Source organism: Homo sapiens, chromosome 13, assembly GCF_000001405.40.
Source record: "Homo sapiens chromosome 13, GRCh38.p14 Primary Assembly".
NCBI lineage: Eukaryota > Metazoa > Chordata > Mammalia > Primates > Hominidae > Homo > Homo sapiens.
The window spans coordinates 110,454,462-110,479,219 of record NC_000013.11 but is presented as its reverse complement, the minus strand read 5'-3'; the positions used below and the strand labels follow the sequence as shown (position 1 = coordinate 110,479,219).

Here is a 24,758-nt window from a genome sequence, read left to right as displayed (position 1 = left end):
CTTTCCCATGGGTCTCGTAAGCACCACACGACGCTGTGTTCAGCTGATTCTCAGTAGTTGAGAACCAGCACGGCCCTGTCGATACTGAGATAGGAGCCTGAACCTCCGGTCCAGGTTTGCTACCCCAGGAAGCCAGTGGCTAGTGCGGCAATAGGGGAGCGGGCCCTACCTGAGTCCAGCCCCCAGCTCTTGGACACAGGCGAGGCCCCACATGGGGGAAGCCAGTGTGTATCTTCAAGTGGAGTGGCAGTTCCCTACCAAGATCTGCTAAGGTCCTGGACAAAGCTGTTGCCTGACTGTGGCAAACCAGAGAACTATAGTAAGATTGAGAGTTTCCATGGAGACAACTCCTTATTAAGCAACTGCGTCTTTCCCACTTTACAGTTACGGTGTCCTTTGGTGACATACAACACTTCCTTAAAAAGCTGTTTTTCTGGACAAAACAAAAAGGGGGGAAAGTACATTGATTCCTCCAACCAGCACTGACAGTTTCCCTGGACCGTGAAGTGTAGGAGTCTGGGAACTGGCTGTACTGAGTGTGGGAGAGCGGCCTGGGCAGTGGTGGGCAATGCCCATGGATGCTGTGCCCTGCCTGCCTTCTGGGCCACCTCTGCCACCTGCCTTGGCCTGTGTGGTGGGCATGCAGCCGAGCCTCCCCTCCCCGCTCCTCTGCTCCAGCCCATCTACCCCAGGTTTCCCTGACGGAGCCACCTGCCTTTCCAACCCACACCCTGCACTTTCATAAAACCATTTCTCCTCTCCACATCAGAGCAGTGATTCTGAACTTTTGTAGGGGGAATTTCTTTCTTTTTCTTTTTTCCCGATGAGACCTTCCCTAGATCCTTAATATATACAACAGGTACAGAGGATGAGCCGATGTCTCAGGCTGTTTGTGTCTCCTTATTAGGTGAAATACATGTTCTGGTTTGGGAACCCCTGCACCTCTTAAGGGGTTCCATGGAACAGACTTTGAGAGCTCCACAAGAAGACAGTGCTCATTCTCTTGGCAGGACCAGTGAGGACCCCACTCGTTTATGGGAGGGCTGGGGTCTTACCTTCACGGCCTGGGATTCCTGGCAGCCCCAAGGGCCCCTCTTGGCCAGGAGCTCCTGGGAATCCATGCAGTCCTGGAGGCCCATACAGGCCTGGCTGGCCGGAAGGTCCTGGGAGGCCTGGCTGGCCCTTCAGCCCTGGCATCCCAGGCATCCCTTGGCTTCCTGCAGGAATCAGAGACAAGAGCTGTGGGGGCCAACTCTGGACTGTTCATCACAGACAGCATCTCCCTCCACACACTCATTCTGTAAAAAGAGCAATTCATGCTTTTCTGGACTCTAGAGAATCAGGAAAACACAAAGAAGTATAAAGGATAAAATCAGGTAAGGCACACCATCACCCAGCGGTAATGACTACCACTGGGAATTTCCTTCCTGCCCTTGTCTATTCCTATAAATAACTAGACATTTGCAGAGTTGACATGGCACTATAAGTATAGTTTTAACCTAGTTTTCTTCACTTGACATTATATTTTGAACATTTTGCCACATTTAAAAATAGTCTTTGCAAACATTTAAAATAACTACATGAATAAAACTCTATCATCTGGACACATTGAATGTATTCCATCGCATCCTCCCCATTTTTTTCACTTTTGCAAACAGCACTGTCAGGAATAGTTGGGGAGTTTTCTTTTTTTGCTATGTTTATCCATGTCCATGTCGTAGGTAATTTCTTTAGGAAACTGCCTGAGAAACTGACATCGTGTATCAAAGCAAACACTAATTTAATGTTGTTTAAAAGATACATCGCACTGATTCAGAAAGTCTAAACCCATTTATTCTACCAGTGTTTCCCCAGCACTGAGCGTTAGCACTGAAGCAAAATGGAACCCTGGCAGTCATGATGCAGTGAAACGTGGTGTCGGGGGATCCGCTTGCTTGTTCTTCATTATGATCTACGTTTCTTTCTCCTGGTTATTGATTTTGGTGAAGTTTTAGTTCTTTGCTCATATCTTTTCTTTCTTTCTTTCTTTTTTAAATGGAGACAGGGTTTTGCCATGTTGCCTAGGCTGGTTTCAAACTCCTGAGCTCATGCGATCTGCCCGCCTTGGCCTCCCAAAGTGCTGGGATTACAGGCATGAGCCACTGTGCCCGGCCTCTTTGCTCCTATTTTCCTCTGGGGAGTTTTATATTTTCCTGATAGATTTTAGTATTCCTCATATACACTGACGAATTTTCCTTCATATCTATTGTAAAGTTTATTCTGCTGCTCAAAGTTTAATTTTGCTTTCCACATGCAGGATACTAACCTTTGTATTCAAACTTCATATGGTGTGTGTGTGGGTGTGTGTGCACATGTGTGATTTCTTCTCTTCATTTTAAGTTTGGAATATCCTGTCCTGCCCAGTGGTCAGACACTAAGGGCATCTGTTTTCTTCTAGTTTTTAACACTAGCTCCCTGGACCTCCTTATATTCAGGCATTTCCCCCTCTCTTCGTGAGCCTGACGCTTGTCGCAGCTGCTCTCCGATTATTAACACCGGAGGTGCACACTCCTGCCACCACTTTACAGTCCACACACTCACGTAGCCTCACAGCCACCCTGCAGGTGTGCAGGGCTGGTCCAGGACAGGGAGGCAGACAAGCCAGGGGGGTGCACAGGAGGGGGCAGTGACAAAAGGGACCCGGTCAGTCTTGGACCAACCCAGAACCGAGAGTCAGGCTGCTGACTGCGCACTGTCTGACCACGTCAACCTGCAGCGAGGAAGAGGGCTGACTGAGCAGGAGGCGCACTCGAAGCCGAGGTCTGAAATGAGATTCTCTAAGATGCACGGATGCATCGGTTCTCACCTCCTCCTGTAGTACTGTGAGAAATGAGGACACTTCTATTTTTTGGTCTTCTATCTTTAGAGTGAAGAGCTCCAGGGGAAATGGATTGTTAGTGGGTGCTAATGGTTGTGAAGAGTTGGCAGGCAGCACTGCAGGCTGTAAAGGATTCGCAGCGATGGCAGGTCCACCCCACTCCTGCTCATTGACAAGAACAATGGGGTGGGGATCTGACAGACACCAGGTGACATTCATAACCCAGGGACATGGACTGTGGGGGAACTTGGGGGCTGAGCAGGCGAGATGGCCTCAGCAGGGGGCAGCAGGGCTGGAGACAGTCTGGGCGTGCTTCTGAGCGCTGCCCTTCCTCCCCTTCTGGAAGTGGACAGCACGGTCTCCGGGTGAATGTGCACGAATGCCCGATCCTCCGGCAAGGACTGCCTTGCAAAAATCAGGCACCGAGGTGCTTTGTGATTATTTCTTTAGAGCTGAATGTTTCAGGTCAGTTTCCACTTATAGACTATCTGTTAAAAAAGGAACAACTGCTAAAAATCAGCCTCCCTCAGTGAAATCACATCTCATTTGTGGACGTCTGCATTACTTCATTCCGAGAGTTCTGCTCAGAAGCGCAGGGTGCACCTGCGTGTGTTTGTGGCCGTCCTGCACAGCCAGTCGAATGGAAGCAGGACCCGCTGCACGCTGCTCCTGTAGCACTGGTGAGCGGAACTGAAACTGAAGTAGTTACTTGGAATGTTGATGCTTTGGGAGTCAGGATTTTTACCATCCAAAACATTCTGCCTAACAAGGCATATGAAGCTTGTCATAAAGGTAACATTGATCATGGTAAAGACCTTAATAAGACATCGAAAGTAAGCCTGCTTCCATTTGTTTTCATGCTCAAACATTCTGAAGCCTGCAGGAAGTAATTAAGTTTTAAAAAAATTCTACCAGAAGTACCCTTATGTCAAAGAGCTTGGGGCAGGATTTTGACAGCTGGGTTGCAGAACAGGTCGATGGTGGACACTCGAGTCACCTACGTATGTCCTTCACTTTGCCTTCTGTGAACTCATTTAAGTGCCTTCCAGGAAGGCTGACACACAGAGCCCCACCTCTCAGCGCCGAGTCCTCAGTTTCTGCAGACAGCGCTGATTTGCATCTTATCTTCCATAAATGACCTGGAGAGTCAGTAGGACTGGAAAGGGGAGATCTGGATGGCCGAGCACGAGGCCTCCCCATCCTCGTAATTTCACCCAACAACCTGCTCTAGCTGGCTTGGTTCAGGGTTGGATGTGTATGTGTGAGCATGCATAGGCACGTGTGTGTATGTGAGTGTGTGATCATGTGTGAGCGTGCATAGGCACGAGTGGGTATGTACGTGTGTGTATGAGTGTACGATCATGTGTGAGTGTGCACAGGCACGTGTGTGGGTATGTACGTGTGTGTGATCGTGTGTGCACAGGCACGTGTGTGGGTATGTGCATGTGTGTGATCGTGAGTGTGCATAGGCACGTGTGTGGGTACGTGTGTGTATGGAGTGTGTGATCATGTTTGAGCATGCACAGGCACGTGTGTGGGTACGTGCATGTGTGATCATGTGTGAGTGTACACAGGCACGTGTGTGGGTACGTGCGTGTGTGATGTGTGAGTGTGCACGGCACGTGTGTGGGTACGTGCGTGTGTGATCATGTGAGTGTACACAGGCACGTGTGTGGGTACGTGTGTAAGGAGTGTGATCATGTGTGAGCATGCATAGGCACGTGTGTAGGTATCTGCATGTGTGTATGTGATCATGTGTGAGCATGCATGTGCATGAGTGTGACCGTGAATGTGTGTGTGTGTGTGTGCATGCATGCACTCTGGCCATCTTAGGCTCTTCCTTGCTCTCTCAGTGAACTGTGGCACCCATGGGCGCTCCCTAGTATCAACAGCTGGGGGCACTGATCAGTCTCATCATCATCAAAACTCCCCTGTCCTGGGTCCCAACCCTTCCAGGCCTTGCTAGGAATCTCACAGGCTCATCCGAAAACCAATTCATGCTCCTGAGCTTCATGGGTTCGCCTGCCAGTGGAGGCCTAGCCTCCATCTCGCTTAGGATGCCTGATGTGGGCTGATGGCAGAATCAGGGGAGCGACACCTGCTTCCCACACCACAGAGAAGCCTCTTCGGGCTGGGGTTGGCAGCAGGGACTAACGACAATGCCATCAACAGATAAACAGTGAATGCACCGAGTCACAGTTTTAACCCACATTTTCTTTTCTTTTCTTTTCTTTTTGAGACAGAGTCTCACTCTGTCACGCAGGCTGGAGTGCAGTGGAATGATCATAGCTCACTGCAATCTACAATTCCTGGGCTCAAGCAATCCTCCCACCTCAGCTTCCCATGTAGTTGGGATTACAGGTGCACAGCACCATGCCCAGTTAATTATTATTTTTTTTTTGTAGAAATGGGGTCTCCCTATGTAGCCCAGGATGGTTTTGAACCCCTCGGCTCAATCAATCCTCTTACCTTGGCCTCCCAAAGTGTTGGGATTACAGGTGTAAGCCACTGTGCTCAGCCTCATTTTTGATTTGGAACACTGAATGGCAGGTTGCAATGATCTAGCAATCCCCAGCCTGGGGTTCACCCAGTGTGAACATTTGCTGTCCATGGCATCATCTTTCATTAAAGCTCGGGGCTCGGGTTCCCAAAGCCGATTTGGCATCAGTTGAACCCTTAAAGCCACCGGGTGCCTTGTCACTCATGAAACCAGGGATGCTCTGTCTACTTTGATAGAGATACATTGATAACACTGTAAACAACATTAAGACATTTTAAAAAATGTATTAATTTTTACACCAATAGAATTGCATTCCAGATTATTTCTATTTTCCTTCTTCACCTCTGACTAAGCATGGCCAGGGCCCATCTTTTCTTCATACCACCTGTACAGATTCTGCCAAGACAAACAGTGAGCCTGTCACGGCCCCTGTCACAGCCAGGCATATGCAACTTGACAACAGATTACATCAGTGAATCCACACCTGTCAAAGTTCTCAGATGGCCAGATCGCACTGGCTACCGTGGGTAGTCACAGTGTTGTGACAGACACATTCTAAAGGAGTGCTGGAAGGCCATGGGAGAAGGTACGCATGGCTAGCACTATAGGGCACCGCTGCTTCCTACCAAATCCCCCGGAAGGGATTGGGGTCGCCCTTGGAGGCCACTGTGCATCTGGGATGGGGCCCCCGGCTCCCCGATGGGGCACTCACCTCTGAATCCAGGGGGGCCTCTGTCTCCGGGAAGGCCTTTAAGCCCAGGCTGTCCAGGCACACCAGCATCTCCCCGTGGCCCGGGCTGAGCTCCCAGGACTTCTCCAGGGAGGCCCCTTTCCCCAGGGGGCCCATCTGGCCCTGGCAGGCCGATGGGACCTGGGGATCCATCTGGGCCAGGGAGGCCCACTGCACCTTTGGATCCTCGGGGTCCTATGAACCCTAAAAGGAAACATGGGTGGGCCCCAAACCACAAGTTAGCATGGTGACGTTCTAAGAGAAGAGTCAAAAAGAGGCTGGAAACAGCAAAAATTTGGCTATGGGGTCCTCAGAAGGCATTCCTCAGCTCGAGCCCTTGTCCCTGTCGCCCTTTTTGGAACCTACAACCTTCGCCATGTCGTTCTGTTGGTTATGTTTCTTCTGCTTGCCCCGCCATTCGGCCCCCCAGCCCTAAAACTGAGTGAAGGTGGACAAGCCAACAACGCCTCCTTGGACCTCGATTTGCATAATTCATGGGTTCCCCTGCTTTGCAAATAAGCCCCAAAGAATAGCTTTTTGTGGGACCTTCTAGGTTGTGCTGAGTGAGGAACAGCACTTCGGGATGGAAAATCCCAGGGAGGCAGGAACGAACAGGGCCGTCAGAGCCAAAACGCTGCCTGCCGTAACATCTCCCTGGTAGAAACCCGTCACTGTCGGTTGGGAAACGCTTCAAAGAGGAACGACACCCCTCTGTTGTATTGACCATGAAAATCATCAAGTCCCAATCCCAGCACTTTGGGAGGCCGAGGCGGGTGAATCACGAGGTCAGGAGATCGAGACCATCCTGGCTAACACGGTGAAACCTCGTCTCTACTAAAAATACAAAAAATTAGCCAGGTGTGGTGGCGGATGCCTGTAGTCCCAGCTACTCAGGAGGCTGAGGCGGGAGAATGGCGTGAACCCGGGAGGCGGAGCTTGCAGTGAGCCAAGATCGCACCACTGCACTCCAGCCTGGGCGACAGAGTGAGATTCCATCTCAAAAGAGAAAAAAATAAAAAGAAAAAAGAAAATCATCAAGTCCCATCTGCGGATGGAGGGAAGGCAGCTGTCCTGTGTCTTTTGTGGGTGCCACTGGATAAAATGATCTCATCAGGTCACTTCCTTTTTCGGTGCAGTCAGCCCTGACATGGCCTCAGAATGAACTCCCACAGCTGACAGTCACGCAGTGCTCAGAAGGAAAGGCTTCTGAGGTCACCACCACCCCCGCTGTGCATGCAGGAGAGAAGCCTGCAACGATGAGACTGGCAGGTGATTCTGTGGGACAAGATCAAGTACACGGCAGGCTCGGCACTCCTATGTATGGATACGGAAAAGGGAATGTTTTCTGTGTTCTGTGGGGTGTATCCCACCAAAAAGATCCAATGAGCAGGGCCCGGGGACCTCCTGGGCCGGTAAAGCCATCACTGCCTGGGAGCTGGGAGTAACTGGAATACAGAATAAAGGATCTGGATTAACCTGACGTTAATCAGCTAGACCGTACTCAGAGTTTTAACGGTGTGATTTACTCACAATGAAGAGACATGACTTTCACTGGCAATGTTACAAACTGTACCCAGGGAGCCATGCACTTGGGTTTGCATGTGTGGGTCTTAGATCTGGAATAGACTCTCTGATTTTTGCAATCCTTGAATTGGGCATTTTATCCTCTTCTGCATGTGGCGACAGAAGGGCAGTATATTTCAGCACCATAAAAAGTGACATGCGTTTCAGAAACTGATCAGTTCCTCAATCACCACCCACCCCCAGCCTGCCCCAGCCTCCCTGTTCATGACGTAAGGGCTCACATTTGATGGTGGAACAGGCTCCCAACTCACGTGGGCAACTGTCCAAATCACCTGATAATGGGTGCATCCCATCCATTCCCCCCTACAGGGGAGCCCCGTGTGGCGTTCACGCACACATGGCTGGGCACTCCAATCACAATTACCAGAGAACTTTCATACTCACAGCAAGAAGCTGTTCAGGAATTATTATCCTTCTCTCAAAATCATGAATGCTTAAACTTAGTATATATGAAATCATGAGAGTGGCAATGTTACACTTCTAAATATTTAGACACTTCCAGCAGGGCAACAAAACCACAGAGACCAACCCCTGGGGCAGAGGCATGGAGACTTCCTTTGCTTCATTCGAATGCAGAGTTGTTTTTACCAGGGCCTTGATACAGACACAGGAAGCCTGCTTCCCAATTTTGCAAAACATGGAGAAACGCATCATATGAAAGGAAACAGGGTCAGGGTTTGGAACAATCCCTACGGGCTGCAACACAAAATTCCGAAAGATACCATCTATCAGGGACGGACAGACACTTCTGCATTGAGGCTTAAATCAGCTATCTGAGTGGAGGTCAGGGGAGGGGCAGGGTTCAATTAGTCTTCACTGGGAACATTTGCAAGATGTTCAACCTAAGGGCGCAACAGTCCCGATGTTCTGTGTGATATTCCAGACATGGGGAGCGCTTTATTCAGTTTCTAGAGCCCAGTTGGAAAAGAATCCTGATAAGTGGGGGTCCTAGAAGGTTGCTCAGAATTCCAAGGGCATGGAACGATGTCATTAAAAGAAAGTATGTGTTCCCGGGGTCAGTTCTGCCTGTTCATGAGACGTCTGTGGGAGATGTGGCCGCCTCTCTCAGGGTGTGTGGTTATGAGGAAGTCAACTGTGTGGCTCAGGAACAGCCCGGTGAGAACTCCCTGGGAGGCAGGCTGTATTCCAGGGAGGAACTTTCTAGCAACAAGAGGGTTCCAATGTGCCACAGGTTCTAGGTGACAAGTGGGACTCCAGCAGAGGCTGCAGGAACCTGCCCAGGACCCTGTGGAAGGATGTTTCATCTCGGGTGGAAAGTTGTCCACAATGGCTTCCATGGTTTCATTAGACAAACACTATTGAAGATGTGTGCGGCCTGGCACAGTGGCTCACGCCTGTCATCCCAGCACTTTGGCAGGCTGAGGCGGGCAGATCACCTAATGTCAGGAGTTTGAGACCAGCCTGGCCAACATGGTGAAATCCCCGTCTCTACTGAAAATACAAAAATCAGCCAGGTGTGGTGGCACATGCCTGTAATCCCAGCTACTCAGGAGGCTGAGGCAGGAGAGTCGCTTGAACCCAGAAGGCGGAGGTTGCAGTGAGCTGAGATTGTGCCACTGCACTCCAGCCTGGGTGACAGAGCGAGATTCCATTTCATTAAAAAAAAAAAAAAAAAAAAAAAGACGTGTATGCCCCTGCAATCAAGGCAGTGCCATCACACTCATGCACATCGCCTGTGGCACAACTGCAAGACACCTATGTCTGCAGACGCCTGGCTGCATTCCAGAGCATGCTGACACGCAAGTGGGTACTCCTCACCAGAGCTGGTTAAGGGAAACCTCATTTTCCTCCACATACAGATTAATGCCTTAAGCTCTTGCAGCCACATTGTGAGAGGGCTATTTATGCCTTTAAGGGTTCTTTCAGGAGAGGATAACTTTGTGTTGCCCTTAGAATGTTTAATATTAATCATTATTAACACTGAGGACATACCTGGGAGACAGGTGTTGCGGAGGACAGCCATTCCGAAACACCTGTCTCCTTTTTCCTGCAAGATCTGTAGATAGCTTCTGCAAAAACCCAGTACAATATCAGTTATGAAAAATCAAGAATTTCTAATCTCCCAAGGACAAATGCAAAAGTTGTCAAGTATTTGTTAAAACAGCTTCTACAAAGTGGAAGATAATAGAGCTGGATGCTTATGAATCACACACAGGTTCCCGCTGGAACCCAGGGGCTGAATGGGGGTCTGATCTCAACTCACCTGGGGGTCCTGGGAACCCTTCACGACCTGCGTCTCCTGGCAAGCCCCTGGGCCCTGGTCCTCCATCAGCTCCTGCGAAGCCTGGGATTCCTCGGAGGCCTTTGGCACCTAAATAACCAAATAAACCACAAACCACATCAGGCTCCACGAGGATAAATGGGCATGGTCATGCTTGGCATCTGACTTAATGTGGATCTCATGAAACCGGGAAATGATGAGGCTGGGGGGAATATCAGCCTGAAACAGCACCTCCAGGCTTACAGAATGATTTTCAGTGTTTAAAATCCTGTTTACGGACTGGAACCATAAGAATGATAATATCCAATATTTAGATTCTACAGTGCTCTAAATGAGGGCTTTGGAGGTGGGGTCAGATGCTTGGCTATAAATTTTGGCCCTACCATTCTATCTGTGTGACCGTGGACAACTTTCTGTGCCTCAGTTTCCTCACCTGTAAAGTGGGGAGAAGGATCGCCTGCCTCATGAGGACGCCACGAGGACTATGAGGTGACTCTTTTCAAACACTTGAATCCTGCTTGGCCCAGTGTGTGGGCTCCAGAAGTGTTTTCTGATAATTGAAGGGCTGAGGTTCCTCAGCCATGTCACAAAACCCATCTGCCACACTTTTTTATCCCCGTTCCTGGCGCCTCTTGGGAAGGGGATGTGTGTGATCAAACCCACCCTCACTCTTAGAAAGTGGAGTGCGGACAGCAGGAGTGAGAGGGAGGAGCGGATGGGAGGCCAGCAAGGGGCTCCCAGTAATGGGGGCCTGGGCATGAAATGGAAATAACTGGGTATGGCTGGGGGAGCCCCGGAGCCTCAGAAACCCACACTCGCATCACTGGAGCTTTCCCGGAGACCGGCCTTGGCACACGGCTGTAGTCTGGGTGTGTGCTGAGCGTGCTGGCCTCTGGTTCTCCCTGACCACCTGAGACATGCAGAGTTGTCACCATTTTGGGGGTTGCTGTATGAGTGACGGTGTTGAAATCCATGGATGGAATTAGACCGGGGGCAGGTCTAATGGAACGCGGAAGATACAAGCTCAGTTCTCAGAAGACAACACAAGGAGCCTTTACCTCTGCTCACAGTGCAAATGATACCTCTGCATTTGTCCTGTGCTCCCCAGGCCCTGTGATCACGGTGCACTCCGAAGACCCCCTTAAGGTGCAGGGCACATAGAATGTGTCCGTCCACTTTCCTAACTCTCATTGCTGTTCATACTACACTGGTGTCGCTCTCTACAGTTTATCACGGGAAGCAGTGAGGGCATGATTTGTGCAGCAGGAAGCATCTAGAACACCTGTCTGCACTATTCATCTTGCATAGGTGGGGACTTAGTTCCAGAAGAAACAAGTGAGAACAGCTCTGGCTGTGTCTGGTGCTTGTGACACTGAGTTACCCAAGTGACATGCTTCCCCGGCCCCATCACAGGCCGAGTGGAAGAGACATCCAAAGGGGAATTCCTACTGCTCAGAGAACTTGCTTTTCTCAGGCTGATGGACACAGGCATAGAGCCACCTCTCAGGGTCCAGCCCTCCTCCTGCTTGAGTGGAAGCCCTGGCTCTGTGTTCCCCGATGCTCACAGGCCCACGGAGACCCTGGAGTGCAGGGCAGCAGAATCGCAGCGCAGGCGGGACGGCAGTGGTGGCCAGCCAGGCCTGCACCGCCAACACTGGACACGCAGGCGGCCTTAGGCATGGGCTCTGTGAAGGGCACCCAGACTCTTTCTCACATGGGCTGAGAGATGGCCTGGGCCAGCAGATAGAAGCCCAGGTCCTCCCAGGTGCTAGAGACAAAACACTCTAGCCTTGTTTATTCCCGTTTCCTGTTAATCAAAACCCAAATGAAAGCATCCTCTCCTGTAGGTTCTTCCCCTAGATCCTGGGATGGAAAGGCATAAAAAGAAAATACATAGAAGTGCAACCCCTTTCCAGTCCTAAACACGAGGCTTCCATCTCTGCCCCTGGGGGCGTTCCCCTGCAGCCATGGCTGAATTTTCTCTTCTAGCCTGGCCCCAACTAAGTGTCAGCTACCAGACTCCTTTTTCTATAGTGGCAAATGACAGTGGGCTCCCTGTAGGCGCAAGACCAGTTTGTGCTGAGATGCTGGACACGACCATGTCTGGGGTGGGGGATGCAGGACCAGAGGAAAGATGGGCGGGGGAGACACAGCAGTGTGAAGATGTGGGAGGAAGGCTGGGTGCACTCCAGGTTCCCTCCGTGCATTACCTGTGGGGCCTGGGGGTCCTGGCAGGCCTGGCAATCCCTTGGGCCCTCCTATGCAACCTGGGGACAGAAAGGAGAAAAGATGAGCCCAAGCAATCCTAAACACTGAGTCCCACGGCCTTGGGGATCCCCAAGGGCAAAAGCACGAGCTGTGCAAACCGGCTACCATTCTGGGATCAGAGTAACTTAATGATTTAATTCATCTTGGTTCTGATGTAAATAAAAGTTTAATTTCATTGTGTAATGAAATCAAAATATTCGTATAAAATGCAAACTAAGCCAGTCTAGTCAAATAAAAACTGGCACTGTGCTGGCAAACAATTGATTCCCTCCTGCAGGGCAGTAGCCTGGGTGCAAACCGAGTTAATCTGGCTGCTACCCTGCAAGTCAGTGTGGATGCTTTTCTTTTGTCTGGAAGCATCTGCCAGCAATGGAGATAGCCTGCGATTTCAAAATGAATTATTTGACTTCTCCTTTGTGACTTTGTTTACTTTCAGAGTGAACCACAGCAATCAGCCACCTTGCAAAATTAAATCAAGGCTGTGGGCACTTCTGGTTGGTGTGGCTGGGAGCAGTGACACTCCAGCTGGGGTATTGTGAGAGCCCTTTGTCTAAGAGGCTCTCTTGCAAGAACAGTCACTCTTGGAGCTTTCTTTTGTCTGTGTGCCTGGGAATCTGGACCAGGCTCCCATCTTGGCCTGACATCCTCGCCACCGTCTGGGCTGGGCTCAGCCTCCTCTGCCTGGACCCTCCTGGCAGCACACGTGCCTGTGGAGCTGAGTTGGAATGCACTGGTGCTTTCCAGTGAAAAAGGATTTCTGACAAGAGGGGTTTGGTTAAATGTCTCTCCGTCTCTACCAGGTTGTCATTCATGCAATGTATAGTGCTCACCAGGCCACTATGTTGTGCCATGGAAATCAAACGTGGCTTGCACATATTATTAATATTTCTTATCCCACGCATACTGCAAGAGCTTAACCAGCAGACCAAATGAGAGTTCTCTAGTGTCCTAAAGCCACCTGCACTTCCCAGAGTACCTGGCTGGATGGCCTCCTGTCTGTCACCTCCAACGGCCCTTTTCACATCTGTGTCACAATCTGGGGGGAAGACATAAGGACAGAGTGAGGCAATTTTGAAACAGATAAGAGTTACTGGCTCGTCTGGGGCGTGCACGTGTGTGAAGGTGTGTCGTATATGTTGCTGGTGGGGGCAGGAAGGCTTTGAAATGGGCAGGGAACGGGAAAGCCATCTCTGAACTTCCGGGCAAGGCCTCTGTCACTGTAGTCCTACAGGAGAGGCTGCATGTTTCAGCTGCTGAGGGGAGGCTGGTGGGGGCTCAGAAACCTCACAGTTGGGTCATCCCTTGTACGTGCGAGAACAGATGAGGCAAAACAGCATCCTCATCTGACTCTACTGGGAAACGTCTACACTGACAAAGGAAAGCGTGGAATGTCTCAGGACTGTGAAAGGTAAAAGGGAGGATTCCTTCATACCTATTTGTCCTGGGGTCCCTGCGGGGCCAGGAGGGCCCAGGAAGCCTGGTGGTCCAGGTAAGCCGGCGTCTCCAGGGAAACCACGTTGGCCTTTGAGGCCGGGAAGGCCCAGTCCTGGGGGGCCCATTTCTCCTGGAGTACCCTTCGTTCCAGGTATTCCTGGATAGCCTGGGTCCCCTGGAGGGCCCTTGATGCCATCACCCTGTGTGAAAATTCAGTTTATTTCTTAAAATATATACTAATGTTAAAGATCGCCTCGACTTCCCTGTTTCCTTTCCCATTTCCCGGAATTCTGAGCTATGGATCCAGAACAGAAAGACAACAGAGATGAACAGGAACCTAGTGCCATGGTCAGCCAGGTCACAGGAGCCAGTGACAGACTGTGTAGCAGTCTAAGCAATGCCACGGAAGCCGGTTCTGGAAGGCACATGTACATGCTTGAGCATTTCTCTCTTCCCACCCGCCAGCTCCCCTGCATCAGCCTGGGCCTTCATCTCCAGAACAGCGAAGGCACAGGCTTTTGTGTTCTACTGTGGGTGGAGAAAGAAACACATGATTTTGTTGTTATAATTTAGCATCGGTAAAATGGCTGTTATTTTAAGAGATGCTACGTTGTTAAAGGAAAGGAAGCTAATTTGGACAAGGAAAGAGCCGTGTGCGCCTCAGAAGTCAGGAGAGATTACAGGATTGGGAATGGAGAGGGGCTGCCCTGTGGATGAAAGCACCAGCTGCAGGGTGCGGGGGGGAGCTGGTGGGAGGTGCAGGGATGGGGTGGGGAGGCTGGCAGCAGTGATGCTGGTGTGATCTGCGCACACACCACGGCACGGCTCGGTGCTGTCCCCACGTGCTGGTGGAACAGCCATGCGCATAAGCTCCCGCTCATCTGCTGAGCCACGGGACGAGGCTGGGTGTTCTCATGACAATGAGGCAGCTGCTTATAAGAAATCAAACCCTGCTCTCCACTGACACCACAGCCCCTTCCTTGTCAAAGGCATGACGGAGCGGGGCAGGGACACCGGTCCAGCTCTATTTATGAGACCTTGATTAAGTGGTGTACCCCTGTGTTTTAGCTTTTTTTCACAGGGGAGGGGGACACAAGGCTGTTGCAGAGATCACAGGGCAGATGCCCCAAACTTAGTGGACAGCAGTGGGGATGATGCCACTGGAAGGTGGCACAGGCAGGATCACGAGTTTTCTAAAGGCAGAAGTTGACATTCTTGGTTTAGAGATGCCACCAAACAAGGAAGGCACACAAGCACTGGGAAAGTCCCTACACCCCGAGAATGGGAAGCTGAGGCTGCAAGGTTCTCCCTGACCCTAACCCTCACCCCTACCCCTAACCCTGCTCCGACCACCTGCCCCCAGCTGGGCTGGGACTGGCAGCCAGGCTTGGGAGCCGCAGGGGTGGGTGAACCCCATGGCTGGACAGGTGCACCTCCTGGTCACCAACTTCACAAGGCACCAACTCCAGGGAAGGCCACCACTACCGTAACAAATCCAGACTCAAACGGACCACACACATACACACATGAGCACACCACACACCACACATACACTCACCACCCCCACCCCACATGACACTGAACAGGCCAAAGACTGTTCCAACCACAGGAATCATCACTCATCCTCCTCTTCTGGCTAAAGTGACCAATTATGACTTTGCCTCTTATTTAACCCTGTTGCCTCCCAGATGAGATTTTTAAGATACCCAATCATAGAATTATCTGTGTTCTCTGGCCCCAAAAAACTGCACTTAAATTGTAAAAATGTGGGCCGGGTGTGGTGGCTGATGTCTATAAAACCAGTGCTTTGGGAAGCCAAGGCAGGAGAATCACTTGAGCCCAGGAGTTTGAGACCAGCATGGGCAACATAGAGAGATCTCATCTCTACAGAAAATTTTAAAAATATTAGGTGGGTGTGCTGGTGTGCACCTGTGGTCCCAGGTACTCGGGAGGTTGAGGCAGGAGGATGGCTTGAGTCCAGAAGTTCGAGGCTGCAGTGAGCTTTGATTGTACCACTGCACTCAAGAGTGTTATTACAGACATGACCCACGTTAAAACTAGAGAAGACATGGGTTATGGAATGAGGCAAATAAGCTGCGAATAGAATTCAGGCGTGAGGCTCTGAGGAGGAGAAAGAGGATTATGACTTCAATCGTCCTCCAATGATGCTGAAGTCTTAACCCCCAGGACCTAGACATGTGACCTTATTTGGAAATAAGGTCTTTGAGGGTGCTCAAGGTCAGATGAGGTCTTTAGGATGGGCCCATTCCAATATGACCGCTCTCCCTATAAAAAGGGGAAATTTGGGCCCAGAGACAGACACACAGAGAGGACAGATGATGAGAAGACAGAGAGAAGACAGCCGTCTATAAGCCAAGGAATGCCAGAGCTCCGGGAACCTGGGAGAGAGGCAGGGACAGATCCTCCCGCACTGTCTCAGAAGGAACCAGCCCTGCAGACACCTTGATGTCGGCTTTCAGCCTCCAGAGCTGTGAGACCATACATTTCTGATGTCTAAGCTGCCCAGTCTGTGGCAGTTTGTGACCTCAGCCCCAGGAAACCAGTACAAAGAGCTTAAGGAGGTACAGGCTTGGTGACTAGAGGGAGGAAAATGGAATCTAGAAAAAAAGACGTGAGAAATAAGGTTGCAAGGTCCTTCTGAGAAGAGAATGCTCCAGAGCTGGCAGTGGGAAAGGCGTGGTGGCAGGAGAGGCTCAGAGGCTGGAGGGTGCACAGGAAGGGGTCTTGTCTCCCTCCATGGCTGCCTCCCGCGCCTCTGACCCCAGCCTCCCCTGAGGAAATGATGCTGGGGTCTCTGCAGGCTACTAGGTAGCCCCTCCTTCAACACCAGTGTGTGTTTGTTGCAAAAATGAAATTGTATATTTCATGATTTACCTTGGAAAAATAGGGTTCCACCACCCATTTTAGAATAGTCTACTTTTTTTGGCGGGGGAGGGTTCTTAGTCTGTTACACCAGGAGGAATATTTCTTTGATTGTTGACTTTTAAATGTTCATTTGGAGCTTGGCTTCTAACTTAATTCACCGTTTCCTAAAAAGTCTGATTTCTGCTCATTAGAAATAGAATGAGCAGAATGAGCAGCCTGTCCTATGCACAGGTTGGTTTAGTGCTCATGTCAATACTGTTTGCTTCTGGGGTGTTTGGAGAACCTGAAGGATGAAGAAGAGAGGACGGAGCTGCCGCAGTTTGTGGCTACTCACGGGAGGGCCTGGGAGGCCGGGGAATCCATCGAGCCCATCGCGGCCTGGGCTGCCATCGTCACCTTTCATCCCGGGCACACCTGGGACGCCGGGCTGTCCCCGCTCACCTAGAAAGGGATTTGCATGTGAAGCTGCCCAGGCAGGTGCCCACAGGAAGGCTCAGTGCCCCAGGGGCCGCGTGGCCAGAGAGGAACTCACCTTTGGTTGTGATTGTTCTGGAATCTCCTTTTGCTCCTTTGGGTCCGGGAGCACCAATGTTGCCAGGCACTCCCTGTGGAAAACAGACAAAAAAATATCTTCCTTCTTTGTACTGTGAGGGCATCTGAGAAGATGGCTGGCAAGCTTTTTCATCTCACACAGCTGGCAGGCAGTCACCCGTCACCAAACCGAGCGCCACCCAAGGAGCACTTTCTGCGATGCTGGATACGCCCCCATCCAGCTGTCCAGTGTGGGGCCACTGGCCACAGTGGCTGTGGAGCACTGGAACTGCGGATGGTGGGACTGAGGAACTGGATGGTACCTTTTCTTTAATTTTAAATAATTACAATGTGGCCGGGCGCGGTGATTCACTTCTGTAATCGCAGCACTTTGGGAGGCTGAGGTGGGCGGATCACTTGAGGTCAGGAGTTCAAGACCAGCCTGGCCAACATGGTGAAACCTTGTCTCTACTAAAAATGCAAAAACTTAGCCGAGTGTGGCAGTGGAGTGTGGTGGTGCACGCCTGTAATCCCAGCTACTCGGGAGGCTGAGGCAGGAGAGTCACTTGAAACAGGGAGGTGGAGGTTGCAGTGAGCCGAGATCTTGCCACTGCATTCCAGCCTAAGTGACAAAGTGAGACTCTGTCTCCAAAAATAAATAAATAAATAAATAAGTAAATACAATGCAGTGGAAGTAGCCACAGGTGGTTGGACAGGGAAACCCAGGTCCTAGGCCCATCTTCAGTGTCCCTGGGCTCTGCCCAATGGTGCAGATGTGCAGGCCCCAGCCCGGGGCAGCTGAATCATTGCCTTCGTGTCCACAGAGGCCCCAGGGATCCACGGGCTCGGTGCCTTTTGAGAAGCACTGAATTAAAAGTCAAGGTGGCTTCCTCTAAAACACAGTCGTTTAGGAGCCAAGCAGGTTAATCCAGGTATGGAGGATAAAATTTTGTGATAATATTGAGAACAATAAATGGTATTTAATAGAAATTTGTTTCCTGCACTGAGGTTAAGGTTGAGAGAAAAAGATACTTTAGAGAGAAGCTGCCTGCAGGGACTCTCAAATCGCAGCCTGGAAAATCGCGTCTAGCTCTTTCCACGATGAGCAGGGTACCCATCAGCGTTGTGTTTTCAAACGTGAGCTGTGCTAGCTTTTGACATATCTTGGTTGACGCTATTTCCAAGAATATGGGAATGTGTGGAGTTGCTTTAATTAAATGCAATGTTGAAAGTAATTGGGAGTTTCCCTTCTAGAAAATTCCACAGATTCTTGATTTATTTAGTGCTTTGCAACATTACTTTAGAATCTAGGAGAGTTCCTCACACACAGACCAGACCCAATCGATCAATACACGTTGGGTATATGGATGGAGGGATGGGCTTATTGACCCACTCCCACACTTCAAGCGCCCTGCCACTCTACCAGTACAGATATTAAAAACCAAAAACAACAATAAAAACAAACAAACAAAAACTAACCAAAAAACTCCCAAATGGTCTCAGGTATTCCCACTTCAGTGTGGTTTCCATACACACAATCATAGAATTCAGTGCAGGACACCAGGCACAGCCAGAGGCGTGTGAACAAAAGTTCTGTGGACGTGTGTGCTTGGAAGGTTTTAGACATTTCAGGGGCACAGAATGGGGTCCATTTGGCTTCTGGGAAATATTCGGTCACGTTTTAAACAACTGAGGATCCTACTAGCTTTGCCATTGGTATATGTGCAGTTCTCACCCCACGCACTTTTTCTGAATACTAGAGCCACTTTTACTGCTAGACAGCCATGATTCAGAGATCGCATCCTTTTTAAGCTGGGATAAAATGAGCACCTGCTATTTTTTGTTGAATTTTCCTATCTGTTTTCTGAGAAAACCTAGGGCATGGATCAGCGAGGTGCCCGGGTCTCATTTTCACCTGCACAGCTCCGTGCCATGAAGCAGTTGGGAGTCATGGCCGTCAGCAACACAGCTCTGCGGGGCTGCGGTTCCTTCCATGCTGTGGGCTCAGATCCTTTAAGTTTCCTTGGCCAAGTGTCCTGACCAACTGTTTTTCCTCTATTGCTGAATATGTTAAATAATGAACTTTTTGCTTTATAAATTTCCCAGAGTTCTCTTTTTAAGTTAAAAAATCAACAAAAAGTATACTTTCTTTGTCTACATCTGAAATTCACTTTGAACTCTTTGGTCAGCTAAAATCTGCCACGGAAGAAAGGTCTGCTGCAGGTGACCTTTGCATAAGGCACAGAATAAAGGCCATGAGCTGATGTGTGTGGGGTCCACACCTCCACACAAGCACGTGCACAGTTTAAAAATCAAAAGGTCTTGCTTTTTATCAGGTGAAGGAAGCCTTCCAACAATGCTGAATCAGTTCTTGCTAAACTTCAGAAGGCGAATGTTCGATAAATAAATAATGTCCTTTACATTAAAAATGATAGGTTTTTTTGAGATATAATTCATATAGCACAAAGTTCACTGTTTTAAAGCATAAAATTCAGTGATTTTTAGTATTTTCACAAGGTTGTGCAACCATCACTCTTATCTAATTTCAGAACATCTTCATTATATCAAAAAGAAACCCCATTCCCATTAAGCAGGTACTCCCCACCCCCACCCCCACCTCCACCTGTGGCAGCCACCAATCGACTTCCTGTTTCTAGGTTGCCTGTGTGGACATTTCATAAGAATAGAATGAGAGACCATGTGATAGCATGTGTCCTTCTGTGTGGGTCTCAATCCCCATGGCATAACATGTTCCAGGTTCATCCACAGTGTGGTATGGCTCAGCACCTTGCTCCCACGTGAAGGTCAGGGCTATTCTGTGGTATAGATGCTGTATAGATTTAGCTGATCCATTCATCAGGTGACGCACATTTGGATAGTTTCACCTTCTGCCTATTTTGAAGAATGCTGCTGTGAACATTGGTGTATGTGTGTTTGTGTGGACACGTGCTTTCAAGTCTCTTGGGGATACACCAGGAGTGGCATTTCTGGGTCACGTGGTGACCCCCTATTGAACTCTTTCAAGAGCTGTCGGCTGCGGTTCCCACAGCAGCGCCCCTTCTCAGTCTCACCAGTGGACATGTAGAAAGTCCGCCTTGGGGTATGTGGGTTTTTAGAATGGTTTAGCCATGCCTTGGGTCCATGAGTGTTGCCGGTCTGAAGCTGTGTAAACTTAGGAGATAAAAGGCAAGAACGGGACACCTGGGGAGGCCTCAGAGTGTCTTGCCAGCTTCATGATGAAATTGCTCCTCACCTTGAGCCCTGGGAACCCAGGGAGGCCGTGTTGGCCGGGGTCTCCTCTGTCCCCTTTCCTCCCCGGCTCCCCGTTGATGCCTGCGAAGCCCTTGGGTCCTGGCAGTCCCGGAAGACCTTTGATAGCTTCGTCGCCTTCTGTACATCTGCATTCCCCAGCGTCACCTGCAGAGGAGGGAGAGGAGGGCCTCCTTGTTCCGCATTCCTCTTAGCGTGGCGGGGAGAGGGGTATCAGGCAGCGGGGAGAGCTGGGTGGCACACTTGGTGCTTTATGGACACTGCCTGTTCTGATGGGCACTATGACCCCCATTTCTTAGATGGGAAAACTGAGGCTCAGACTAAGTGACTCAAGTGTTCACTCATAGTCTCATGGGGTTCAGAATTTGACTCTGATGTTTACTAAAGATACTTAAAAACTGGGACCACATTCAGAGGCATAGGTTGAGTTGCGGGGAGTGTGAAGGAGGTTAAGGAATTCAGTGCTTAGAGCTGAAGATTGCCACCACTGGGCCTGCGGGCCAAGGGGAGGAGCCGGCTCCAGGGAGCCGTCAGGGAGGGCAAGAGCCCTGGCCTCAGAGGCCAAGGTCATGAAAGGTCATAGGTGAGCAGGGAAGACATGCCTGACCTCTCTTCCTCTGTTTTGCCACAGCTGAACCCAGGGAGTTGGGCAGCAAGGCAGCACCATGCTGGCGGCAGGGGTTGGCTCCCCCAGGGCACAGAGGATGCCCAGTGGGGAGGCCCCACTTCCTCCAGGTCCTGCGGTGCCTGCTCTCAGGTCATGCCCATCCACAGCGGGGTGCTGAATGCACTGCACATCCTACATACGCCAAAACGGCCAAGACGTGGTAAGTCCCAGGAAGTGCTCCCCATGTTCTGGGAGGGGAGAGGTGAGCAGGAGCACAGCCTGCACCACACCAGGGCCCACAGAGCCTCACAGAGGACGGCCTCGAGCTAGGGGCAGAGTCCCTGAGGTGACTGGAAAGGGTCAGGTGCAAAGACCACCTGTTCCAAGTTCGCCTCCTCATCAACGGGAAGGGAGACCCGGGCAAACCACGTCACTCTACCGAGTCTCAGTAGGACCAGGGATGGTGACTATACCAGCACCTTGCTATGGACAGAGCTCTCTACAGACCTCTGTTACAATGCCTTGGAGCTGAGCCCTTGAGACACTACCTGAGTGCAGCCTAAGAAATAACTGTTTTCCCTTTTAACCCAGCACAGGACTCAGCATCAGGCTCACTGCTGCTAGGAAGGTCAGTGACGAGGATGGCAGATGGAGAGCAGGGACGGTGAGCCTGGGGGCCGAGTGCTCAGACAGCACCACTGGCTCCATGCGCCTCCCTCTCAGTGCCACCGCCAAGGGGACAGGAGGCTGGGAGAGACATGCAGGCTCATTTTCATGTCCAAACACGTGAGTGGGGGATGGATTTCACCTTCTGTAAGGTGAGGGACTTGGAAAGGCCAGGCTGTCCTCATCCCGTCCCTCCCAGATGTTCTTACCTTTCCACCCCTTTGGTCCGCGGGCTCCAGGGGAGCCGGGAAGCCCAGGGAAGCCTGCTCTTCCTTTTGCTCCTTTCAGCCCAAACAGGAAGCCTAGAGAGACAACCACAGATGCAGGGCATGAGCCCCACGGACGCCTGGGGTCCCACGCAGACGCAGGGCATCAGCCCCACGGACGCCTGGGGTCCCACGCAGACGCAGGGCATCAGCCCCACGGACGCCTGGGGTCCCACGCAGACGCAGGGCATCAGCCCCACGGACGCCTGGGGTCCCACGCAGACGCACGGCATCAGCCCCACGACGCCTGGGGTCCCACGCAGATGCACGGCATCAGCCCCACGGACGCCTGGGGTCCCACGCAGACGCAGGGCATCAGCCCCACGGACGCCTGGGGTCCCACGCAGACGCAGGGCATCAGCCCCACGGACGCCTGGGGTCCCACGCAGACGCAGGGCATGAGCCCCACGGACGCCTGGGGTCCCACGCAGACGCAGGGCATCAGCCCCACGGACGCCTGGGGTCCCACGCAGACGCACGGCATCAGCCCCACGGACGCCTGGGGTCCCACGCAGACGCAGGGCATCAGCCCCACGGACGCCTGGGGTTCCACGCAGACGCAGGGCATCGGCACCATGGGTGCCCGGCATCCCACCCAGTTGTGAGGCACCAGCATCAAGGATGCCCAGGGTCCCCCCAGACACAGGGCATGGGCACCACAGAGACGCCTGGTGTCCCACCCAGCCCAGGGTGGCTTTCAGCCAAGCCTCCCCAAATGATCCATAAACCCAATTTCATAAACAAAAGCACATTTTTTCAAAAGAAAACTTAGACTATTTTGTGGCGATAGCCTTCAGGGTTGGAAAGAAATATAAGAGTCTGCAAATTTAGTTTTTCCATTAAACTATAGGGATAACAATTATTCCTTTTGAGAAACATTGAGTCCAAAGAAAAGTTTTGATTTTTTGATCATGTAACTTGGATTCCAAGACTGCTACACACTTCTGGTTCCCCCCCAAAAAACTAAAAAAAAGATGAACTCAGTTTCCCATTTTGATCTTTTTCTGATATGGGAATGGGGGCACACGTGTGCATCCCTCCAGAACACTGTTTCCTCTTTCATGCCTTACATGCACACACACGGAGTTAGGATAACTGTTATGCTAATTAAATGTTGTGGCCAATCTGGATTCAGCATGGTCAGCCATGTTGGATGACCTCGCCCACCACCTTCCCCTTGTAAACCTCTCCCCACTAGCTCCTGCAGGGCTCAATGATCCCGGCGGGGGCATCCCTGATGATGACGGTGCAAGAAACACGGTGCTCTTCACACCAGCAAAGAGCGCGCCATCGCACTGGAGAAGAAGAGTGCCATCTCGTGGCAGGAGGAGGGTGTGTGTCTGCAAGACACACAAGCTGCTGCTGGGGGCAGGCTCTGCAGGTGTGCCCTGCAGCTATCTGTCCTCCTCACTGTTAAATAATAGGGCCAGAGCTCCAATGGGCAAATGGCACTCCCCCAGCAAATTAAAAGGCATGTTGCTATACACACTACATGGAACCTGAGAGGAGCAGGGGATGAGGCCGTTACACACAGGAAGGTGAGAAAACTCCAACTTTAAAGAACCCAGCTATCTGCTTGGAAAAGAGCACGGGAGTTTGCAAGTCAGAGAACTGCCAGGTGAGGATAAATGTCTATGAGAATGAGGACATGGATACCGTCCCATGTAGTTTGCTCACTGCACGTTTACCATAGCTCATTCATTCATTCGCTCATCAAACACTTATCCCGTGCCTATGCTGTGCCAGGCTGTGTGCGAGGTGCTGTGTGTATACAACTGGAAATGAAACCGATGGACTCTCATGGAGCTTACAGCTTAGACGTGGAGACACACATTAAACACACAATGCAGGAAACACACTAATGCGGATTTTCAAATTATGGCCCGTGCTGGGGAACAGGGGAAAAGCAGCAGGGAGAGGCCCAGTGAAATGTTTTGGGGGTAGTCAGCTGAGTCCTTTCTGAGGAAGTGATGCTTCAATTAAAGCCCAAAGAATAAAAAGGAGCCCCTGAAGTGGGGAGCGGGAGGGAATGCTCCAGAGTGAGGACAGGGTTTCTAAAAGGCCCTGAAATAGGCAGAAGGCCAGCGCCCGCAGAGTGGTGAGTGAAGGGCAGATTTGCACAAAGGGAGGGGAAGAAACCGGACTTGGCTTTTACCCCGAGGGCAGTAGGAAGCCATTAAAGGGCATCAAGGAGGGAGGCTACGCGGTCTGCCATGTGAGTCTGCCGTGTGGACGACAGGCTGGAGAGGGAAGGAACAACGGGTGCCATCCTAGCAGGCTACGCGGGCGGTGGTGGTGGATAGCAAGGGCACACACAGCACTGGAGTGGAGGACCCGCCAGGATTGTGAGGGAGCCAGTACAGAATGGGTGAGGTAGGCAGAGTAGCCCAGGGCTCTGCTGGAGCTCCCGGGTTTGTGCAGGAGGGTGAGGACCAAGGGAGAGGTCTGTGGGGTGGCAGGGGGTGGGGACGGAGGAGGCCCAGAGCTCCATTTTGGACATGGAGAGCTTGAGGCATTTGTGAGACACGTGCATAGGGTTGACTCTGTGTCGAGTTAACGGTTTCTGTTAGTAGCTCAGCACACAGAACAGGGCCAGAGAGGAAACGAGCGAGTGACCAGCACACACTGCATGTACTTTCATGTGGAGGACGAGTTCATCCGGCGGGGAGTGCAGGGAGGGGCAGGGACTTCAGGGGAGAGATGTCGGGGGCCAGTGGGATTTCCCGGGAGTGGAGGGGAGAAGACAGCGTCTCAGGAGGAGAGGCGGCCGCACCCCGCACTGCTGGGGACAAAGGGTGACCGGTGACCAGGTCAGCTGCGTGTCCGGTCAGTTGTGGACTTTTGTGAGCTTTGTTCTCTGTCTCCAAGCTCTCCCTCTGTGTGATGAGACGTGCAGTGTCGCAGGTAGAGAGAAATT

At 51.2% G+C, this 24,758-nt stretch overlaps 1 protein-coding gene and 1 long non-coding RNA gene across 2 annotated transcripts in view, besides 11 other annotated features; one reads left to right on the top strand and one right to left on the bottom strand.

The window, feature by feature from the left end:
- The window catches only part of COL4A2 (collagen type IV alpha 2 chain), a 205,926-nt gene that overhangs the window by 33,990 nt on the left and 147,178 nt on the right, over positions 1–24,758 (bottom strand). Inside the window, exons 21-30 of the mRNA NM_001846.4 lie at positions 21,785–21,877; positions 20,286–20,449; positions 17,034–17,106; positions 16,836–16,942; positions 13,614–13,815; positions 13,158–13,217; positions 12,124–12,180; positions 9,896–10,003; positions 6,070–6,291; positions 1,056–1,217 (exon numbers count right to left, since the gene is read on the bottom strand). Of these exons, the coding sequence (NP_001837.2) occupies positions 1,056–1,217; positions 6,070–6,291; positions 9,896–10,003; positions 12,124–12,180; positions 13,158–13,217; positions 13,614–13,815; positions 16,836–16,942; positions 17,034–17,106; positions 20,286–20,449; positions 21,785–21,877 (1,248 nt within the window). The remainder of the gene's footprint in view (positions 1–1,055; positions 1,218–6,069; positions 6,292–9,895; positions 10,004–12,123; positions 12,181–13,157; positions 13,218–13,613; positions 13,816–16,835; positions 16,943–17,033; positions 17,107–20,285; positions 20,450–21,784; positions 21,878–24,758) is intronic.
- Positions 3,208–3,317: an enhancer, noted in NCBI's record as "active region_7999". NCBI's record gives its function as "activates an Ori minimal core promoter by ATAC-STARR-seq in GM12878 lymphoblastoid cells {active_cell/tissue: GM12878}" and the evidence as "EXISTENCE:reporter gene assay evidence [ECO:0000049][PMID:35858748]".
- Positions 3,888–4,526: an enhancer, noted in NCBI's record as "H3K27ac-H3K4me1 hESC enhancer chr13:111127041-111127679 (GRCh37/hg19 assembly coordinates)". NCBI's record gives its function as "activates a minimal SCP1, AML or CMV promoter by ChIP-STARR-seq in naive H9 embryonic stem cells {active_cell/tissue: H9 hESC(naive)}" and the evidence as "EXISTENCE:reporter gene assay evidence [ECO:0000049][PMID:30033119]".
- Positions 5,682–6,256: an enhancer, noted in NCBI's record as "H3K27ac-H3K4me1 hESC enhancer chr13:111125311-111125885 (GRCh37/hg19 assembly coordinates)". NCBI's record gives its function as "activates a minimal SCP1, AML or CMV promoter by ChIP-STARR-seq in naive H9 embryonic stem cells {active_cell/tissue: H9 hESC(naive)}" and the evidence as "EXISTENCE:reporter gene assay evidence [ECO:0000049][PMID:30033119]".
- Positions 6,985–7,124: an enhancer, noted in NCBI's record as "active region_7998". NCBI's record gives its function as "activates an Ori minimal core promoter by ATAC-STARR-seq in GM12878 lymphoblastoid cells {active_cell/tissue: GM12878}" and the evidence as "EXISTENCE:reporter gene assay evidence [ECO:0000049][PMID:35858748]".
- Positions 7,245–7,294: an enhancer, noted in NCBI's record as "active region_7997". NCBI's record gives its function as "activates an Ori minimal core promoter by ATAC-STARR-seq in GM12878 lymphoblastoid cells {active_cell/tissue: GM12878}" and the evidence as "EXISTENCE:reporter gene assay evidence [ECO:0000049][PMID:35858748]".
- Positions 7,305–7,544: an enhancer, noted in NCBI's record as "active region_7996". NCBI's record gives its function as "activates an Ori minimal core promoter by ATAC-STARR-seq in GM12878 lymphoblastoid cells {active_cell/tissue: GM12878}" and the evidence as "EXISTENCE:reporter gene assay evidence [ECO:0000049][PMID:35858748]".
- Positions 7,615–7,714: an enhancer, noted in NCBI's record as "active region_7995". NCBI's record gives its function as "activates an Ori minimal core promoter by ATAC-STARR-seq in GM12878 lymphoblastoid cells {active_cell/tissue: GM12878}" and the evidence as "EXISTENCE:reporter gene assay evidence [ECO:0000049][PMID:35858748]".
- Positions 9,284–9,489: a silencer, noted in NCBI's record as "fragment chr13:111122078-111122283 (GRCh37/hg19 assembly coordinates)". NCBI's record gives its function as "represses an EF-1alpha promoter that drives an FKBP-Casp9 reporter gene in an ReSE screen in both phorbol 12-myristate 13-acetate-treated (for megakaryocytic differentiation) and untreated K562 erythroleukemia cells {active_cell/tissue: K562 | K562(+PMA)}" and the evidence as "EXISTENCE:reporter gene assay evidence [ECO:0000049][PMID:32094911]".
- COL4A2-AS2 (COL4A2 antisense RNA 2) lies at positions 15,933–22,823 on the top strand. Its single transcript, NR_171022.1, has 5 exons — positions 15,933–16,197; positions 20,934–21,129; positions 21,501–21,537; positions 21,633–21,695; positions 21,864–22,823. It is a non-coding gene; the product is annotated as a COL4A2 antisense RNA 2 (long non-coding RNA).
- Positions 19,870–20,678: an enhancer, noted in NCBI's record as "H3K4me1 hESC enhancer chr13:111110889-111111697 (GRCh37/hg19 assembly coordinates)". NCBI's record gives its function as "activates a minimal SCP1, AML or CMV promoter by ChIP-STARR-seq in primed H9 embryonic stem cells {active_cell/tissue: H9 hESC(primed)}" and the evidence as "EXISTENCE:reporter gene assay evidence [ECO:0000049][PMID:30033119]".
- Positions 20,679–21,488: an enhancer, noted in NCBI's record as "H3K4me1 hESC enhancer chr13:111110079-111110888 (GRCh37/hg19 assembly coordinates)". NCBI's record gives its function as "activates a minimal SCP1, AML or CMV promoter by ChIP-STARR-seq in primed H9 embryonic stem cells {active_cell/tissue: H9 hESC(primed)}" and the evidence as "EXISTENCE:reporter gene assay evidence [ECO:0000049][PMID:30033119]".
- Positions 23,125–23,174: an enhancer, noted in NCBI's record as "active region_7994". NCBI's record gives its function as "activates an Ori minimal core promoter by ATAC-STARR-seq in GM12878 lymphoblastoid cells {active_cell/tissue: GM12878}" and the evidence as "EXISTENCE:reporter gene assay evidence [ECO:0000049][PMID:35858748]".